The sequence below is a fragment of the Homo sapiens genome, chromosome 1, assembly GCF_000001405.40.
Source record: "Homo sapiens chromosome 1, GRCh38.p14 Primary Assembly".
Taxonomy (NCBI): domain Eukaryota; kingdom Metazoa; phylum Chordata; class Mammalia; order Primates; family Hominidae; genus Homo; species Homo sapiens.
The window spans coordinates 4,611,017-4,617,353 of NC_000001.11; the positions used below are offsets into that span (position 1 = coordinate 4,611,017).

At 55.9% G+C, this 6,337-nt stretch overlaps 1 annotated feature.

The window, feature by feature from the left end:
* Nucleotides 2,681-3,194: an enhancer, noted in NCBI's record as "H3K4me1 hESC enhancer chr1:4673757-4674270 (GRCh37/hg19 assembly coordinates)". NCBI's record gives its function as "activates a minimal SCP1, AML or CMV promoter by ChIP-STARR-seq in primed H9 embryonic stem cells {active_cell/tissue: H9 hESC(primed)}" and the evidence as "EXISTENCE:reporter gene assay evidence [ECO:0000049][PMID:30033119]".

A 6,337-nucleotide genomic window follows, 5' to 3' on the forward strand; every position in this document is an offset into this window, starting at 1 on the left:
GAGATGATGTCTCACTATGTTGCCCAAGCTGGTCCCAATCTCCTGAGCTCAAGCAATTCTTTTGTCTTGGCCTCCCAAAGTGCTGGGATTACAGGTGTGAGCCACTGCCCCGGCTGACCTTGTCTTAACTAATGACCTCTGCAAAGACCTCACATTCTAGGTTCCAGGTAGGCATGGATTTCAGGCCCCACAATTTGACTCATGCCCCACTCCACCTGATTGCGCTTGACCGCTTCTTCCTGCTTTCAGGTCTCATTCTGAGGCTGACTCTCCTTTCACCAGTGCTAATGACTATCGACCCCCTGGGCCAGTGCTCTTCTCTTCCCCTGCCCATCCTGTGGGAGAGACTGAGCTCTGGTCTGTCTCACCCCTCCCAGAAGGTGGTGAGAGGTCCCTCGAGTGGAGCCAACATAGGCCATGTGCCCTCCTGTGCATGGATCCCTGGGGCCAGGGCCACAGCCATGGGAAATGCTGATCAGCTGAAACCAGGAAGGCCCCCAGGCTCCTCGAGAGAGAATGAAGTGGGGGTCCCCAAAGGAGATGTGGGTGCCCTTTCCCTAAAGGAGGAGGGAAGATGGTGCCTGCTACAGAGAGGGAGAGAGTCACTGTTAGAAATACCATGACAGGAGAATACGCGTCATCCAGCTGCCGGGGCTGAGGCAGCCCCACACTCGGCCTCCCTGTGCAGCTGACAATACCCCAAGTCCAACGGTGCTTAAAAACGCTGAATAATTTAAATGGCAATTCCGGGGAGCGCTGCCAGCAGAGACAATCAAATGACACTCCATGTCCCGCCCACTGCCCCCTCCCGGCCTTGCCCTCAGCGTCTAATCAGGGACCGGGTTTTGTCTTTCTGCAGGCCCAAGGCGGGTCTCCTGTTATCTGCTCAGCTTTGTTCCCGATCACAATCTGTAGCACTTTCCTCCATTTTCCCAACAAATAAAACTGGAGGCAATGACCTGTCATTTCCCCAGCATTCAATTAGAAGGGAAAGCAGTGGTGGGAGGTGGGCAATCTCCTCCCGCTCCTCCACACAAATGTGCCCTGGATCCCTTCAGCCAGCCACAGTGGCTCTCCTGCAAGGACACAGTGAGTGAGAAACCAGAGACGGTTCCCAGGGTCACCCGGGCACAGGCCTGATGGGGTCCATGATAAGACAGACATGGAGTCCAGGCGGCCTGCGGCCTGGGTTCAGGTAGGAGGCTGCCCCTCCCCGTGCCTCTCCTGCTTCCTCTCCCTCCCCTCCTCGCCACCCCGCCTCCTCTCCCCTTTTCTGTTAATCTCTCTGTAGGATCGGTACACCATGACAGCCGCCTTGACTACCAAGGTCAGAATCTTCTCAGCAGAGCCTGGTGCTCCTGGGCATTCCTGGGCTGCCAGGGTGTGTATGCTTTTCAGAAACAGTCAGGAGCACACCTCCGTCCAGAAGCCCATATCAGGAAGGCTTCCCCTGAGGATGCAAAGGGCTCCTGGGCTGATGTCTCTTTCTTTTCTGAGGGTTCAGTACGATGATCCCATCCCCTAGACACACCATCACCATCAGAGAAGCTTGCAGAGTCCAGGGATGGGGTTGGGGTCTCTCCTGGGAGGGTCTTTCCCTGTGCCTCCTGCCCCACCAGCCCCACAAAGGATTGTGGGGCTCCATGGCATCTACACAGGCCCTGGTTATCCGCAGGACTCTAGAACATGGACTAGTCCACGTGCTAGTGGCTTTCATTCCGACTTCTTTACACCTTCATCCTCCCGAAGGATTCTCCTATAAATTGATAGAAAGATAATGTTAAACCCAGGCACCTGAGGGAAGGGGAAAATATGCTAAACGGAAACACACAAATTGTCAGGTGCCCAAGTGGAGGCAGTAAATTCACAGTTTCGCTGTAAATCGGGTCTGTGCTTTGCACTTTACATGTAATTGTTAAATTGCTCTAAAAATAAGTAACCGATAAAATGAATAATGATCCAATTTGCCTCATCCACGACTCGGTTTGAACCGAGTGCTGACACAGACACCATCGCTTTTACACTCACCATTTGGCAGCAGCAGAGAAAAGGCTTTTATTCCACTAAGTTTGCGATCCACTTAAACAGTAGAGTAGTTAGATTCTGAAGTCAGCCTGAGACTCTCAGAATTCACATCCAGCCCTTGGCACTGGGCCCATCAGATCTTCTGGGCAGAGCCTGCAGCCTCAGAAGACCTCCCTGCTCAGGGGCTCTGTCCTCAGGCTAAGCCCTGCTTGGTCCCGTCCCTTGTTACCATGAGCCTTGCTTTGAATTAGTCTTTCCTTGTTCATATACCATGTGTTTCCTTTACACTGATTGGGCCCTGACAGAAACACCAAATTATCTGGACGCAGGAGAAAAACCCCCAGACAAACTTTTTATTGGCAGGCTTTGCAACATCACATCCTTCCAGCTTTCAATAGGGGCTCGGTTTCTAGACCATCTGCCTCAGTCCCCTTCTGCCACAGTTCCACCCTGGGACTTTTGCGGGGGCTTTTGGGTGCAGCAGAGGCACAGTGGGGCCTGGAAACATTAGTGCCTGGTTGCACCTGAGCCTGACATGGTCTCCACCATGCTCCCTGTCTGCAGAATGAGAATAACCGCTAAACCCCACAAAGCCATCCTAGGGATGAGGTCAGGCCATGTGCACACGGGGGCAGGTGCCCGCAATCACTTAACAAGGCTTAAACAAGCTCTTGCCATTCTGACTTTGACTCTGCAGGACCAATTTTTACTTCCTGTGTGAACTCAGCCCCGGCCTGTGGAATGCAGGGCCCCTGTAAGTGTGGGTTCAAAAGAGAGGGAACATGGTCCTCTGCCTCACTCCATAAGCTCACGGGCAAGCCTCCCCATGAAGAGACGATCCAGGTGCGACACAGGAGGTGCAAACACAGCGACATGCATTCCCGCGTTTAAAACACATGCTCCGCCGGGCATGCGGACGAGAGCATCTGCCTGGCTCGGGTGTGGCAGAGGGGCAGGATCTCCAGGAGTGACCAGGCTCTACGGAGGACGGAGGGCCCTGAGGGCAGCTGGGGAGGGCAGGCATGGGGGAAAAGGGACAATGTGAGTTAAGCCCTCTGAGTGGGAAACAGTGACTCGTTGTAGGAGTGTGTCCGGTCTGCAGCTGGGACTGAGGACTTCCTAGGCTGCAGGGGAGAGGCGGCGTGACCACGGGGACTGAGCTCAGCCTCCACGGTCCAGGCACTGGGGAGCCATGGAGGAGTGAGACACAGAGCAGCAGCAGAGTCAGACTGGACCCCAAGGAAGAAAGCTTTGAAGAGGGCAAGTGGGAGGCAGGGAGACCGGTTGGCCGCCCACAGACTGGGCCAATGCAAGAGCTGATGAGCCCCGAGCCGAGGCCAAGGGGGTGGAAGTGGGGACGAGGAAGACAGGAAGATATAGTTAGAGGGCAAATCTGCAGAGCTGGCCACTGAGAATCAGGGTGAGGAGGAGACAGGATGAGGCAGATAAGGATCTGTGCTGGAGAACAGGCCATCTGTGATCTGGAACGAAGCGTCCCCTAGATTCTATGAGGCAATTGTGCAAACTCCCGCTCCTCGCTCTTCATTCAGATTCAGGCTCCTGTTCTCAACCTCACACAATTCAGTTACCTGGGAAAGGAAGGTGTGGCCTCAGGCCCCAGGAGGTCCCCATTCTAGTAGAGCAAACAGACAAGCAGAAGGGTGTCTAGAGACCCAGCCCATCCCTGAGTTCGGGTGGCACCCTCCTGTGGCTCTTTGGGACTCAGAGCAAAGGCCTCTTCCCAGCTGGGCAGTGACGGGCCCTGTGGAGGGGAGTGCTGTTTGAAATGAGTCTGGGGGAACAGACAAGGTGAACTGGGGAAAGGAGATGCTGGAATGTTCCTGGCAAAGAGAGCAATGGGGAGGGCAGGAGGGGGACATTCCAGAGCGGTGGATGAGGGCTGAAGGGGACAGGTCACACTGCACGGGTTGGAGGGGACTGAGAGTTCTGGGCCCATGGGCAGGTGGCTGGGGGACGCTCACATGGGCTGGCCTCGAGACTCAGGCTCCTGCTGCTATGTAGACACGGGCTTGGGTCACTCCTCAGGGGATGGTTCAAACTGCTGGCATCGTCCTCTGGGCCACCCCGTCATAGCTGGGCTTCCCCAGTGTGGTGCCTGGGGACAGACTGCTGGCAGGGCCCGAGGAATGGACAGGGACCCCCGGCCACCCAGATCCTGTCCCAGAAATCGTACCGAGAGCAGACCAGGCGGCCCTGCCAGCCGGCACCTGCCCCGCCTCCACACCCCACACCTGGCTGCGCGGGAGCCACTCAGAGGCTGTTTTGATTGGCTCATTTCAGCGGAGCTCATTATTTTTACAGGGAACAATTTCTAACCATTTTCCTTGTCTCTCAGGGCGGTTGCTACTAGCTGAGTTACTCGGGCCGTTATAAATACATTATCAGACACATTCAACAAGCGATCGCAGGTAAAAATAATCCCTGCAGCGCTGGCAGTGTGGAGCGCAGATGCCAGCCAGGCTGATTTCTGGCGAGACACAGTGGGCCCCTCATCTCTCCCCATGTGCAGGGGCAGGGGTAGGAGTGGCACTGCTGGGTCCAGGGAGGGTCTCGGAGGCCTCCTGTCCCCCTCAGGGTAACAGAGTGTCAACCCGGGGGGTTGCACCCTGGAGGTGCAGGGGCTGTAGAGAACGCTGGCCCCACTGGCTGGGGGCCCCTGTAGGCCTCGTGTCAGAGTCTCTTGGGAACTTCCTAACAGGCCAGGCCTGCTGCACAGGGGCCTCTGGAAGTGGGCCGAGGTGGCCTTGAGGTCCGGTCGAGGAGGGGGCACAGGCAGGTTGGGCTCACCCACCCCTCCATTGGGGAAGCAGGGTGGAGCAGAGGGGGGGCCAGTGCTTTCTCACAGGTTCAGGTGGTCTAACTTATCCAAGCCTCAGCCATATCACCTATCCAGTGGGTATAGTGAGGCTTACCATGCAGGGTGTCTAACATTCAGTTTGTGAAACGACGTTTCCCAGGGACTCATAATCGTCATGTCATTAGTAACTAATTACAGTGAAGGAGGGCTGCCGACTCACATAGGTGTCAGCTGCCAGGCTCCAAGGCTCGCCTCCTGTGCAGGTTTTGGGTTGTGTTGGGTGCTAAACCCGGTGCACACAATGAGGATGTTGGTGTGTCATCGAGGGGTAGACCTGAGCTGAGGGCCCCAGATGGGTGGGACACGTGTGTAGGTGGCATGTGCTCGGGAATGCATGCAGCCCTCTTGGAGTAGGAAGGGAGAAGAGTTTTCAGGGAGAAGAGAGAATTCCAGACAATGGGGTGCACACAGTCTAAAGAAGGAAGATTGCAGGGAGCTTGAGCAGACAGGTGGGACACATGGTAGACAAGTACAGCTAGGACACCTAGTAGACATGTAGGATATCTCTTATACAGCTAGGGCACCTGGTAGGCAGGTAGGATACCTCTTATACAGCTAGGGAACCTGGTAGGCAGAGAGGACACCTCTGATACAGCTAGGGCACCTGGTAGGCAGGGAGGACACCTGGTAGACTGGAAGGGGAGAGAAGGACGCCTTGTCAGATCAGACTATAAGATCGTGTCATCTCAGTTCCTCCATGGAGACAGAATCCCACACTAGTGGGACCCTATTCTTTATCATTTCCACCCTCACTCTTGTTTACTGAGTGCTCACTGTATCCTCAACCCTGTGCCAACCACCTTATCAACTCCTGGTATCTTTCAGTGACCCTGGGCTGGGCTGTCATTTGGAGAGTATGAGCAGCTAGCCCAGTGGATGCTCACAGCTGGTCTGTGGTGAGCCAGGACTCGGACCCACATCCTCCTGAGCTCCCACAGTGGGGTGTCACCCCAAGCTGTTTCCTCCATACCTTAGTATCTGGTGGGGTCGTGATCCCTTCCCTCGCCTCCAACTTGCTGCTCACCCAGAGTTGGCGTTTGCCCTGACTGGGGTCATGGTCATGGTTAGCACTCACAGTGGACAGGCCGACCGCCCTTGAACTCGTGACGGGCCCCGCTGAGGCTAGAGGTCCCCCCCTCACAGTGGACATGCCGACCACCCTTGAACTTGCGACAGGCCCCGCTGAGGCTAGAGGCACCAGCCCCACTGCCAGGCCTGATTTCTTTCCTGGTACTCCTATCACAGCTCGGTGTGTGCTGAATTTCTTGCCCCAGCCTCGGTTTGTACTGGCTTGAGTGTCGGTGCTGCTGTCCTCACCTGGATCTCAACCTCTACATTGCAGGAATCGAGGCAGTGGGGCAGGAAGGTGGACACCAATGCATTCGTGCAGGGGCTGGGCAGGGGCTGGGCTCTGCCATCTGGCCAAAGTGCTGC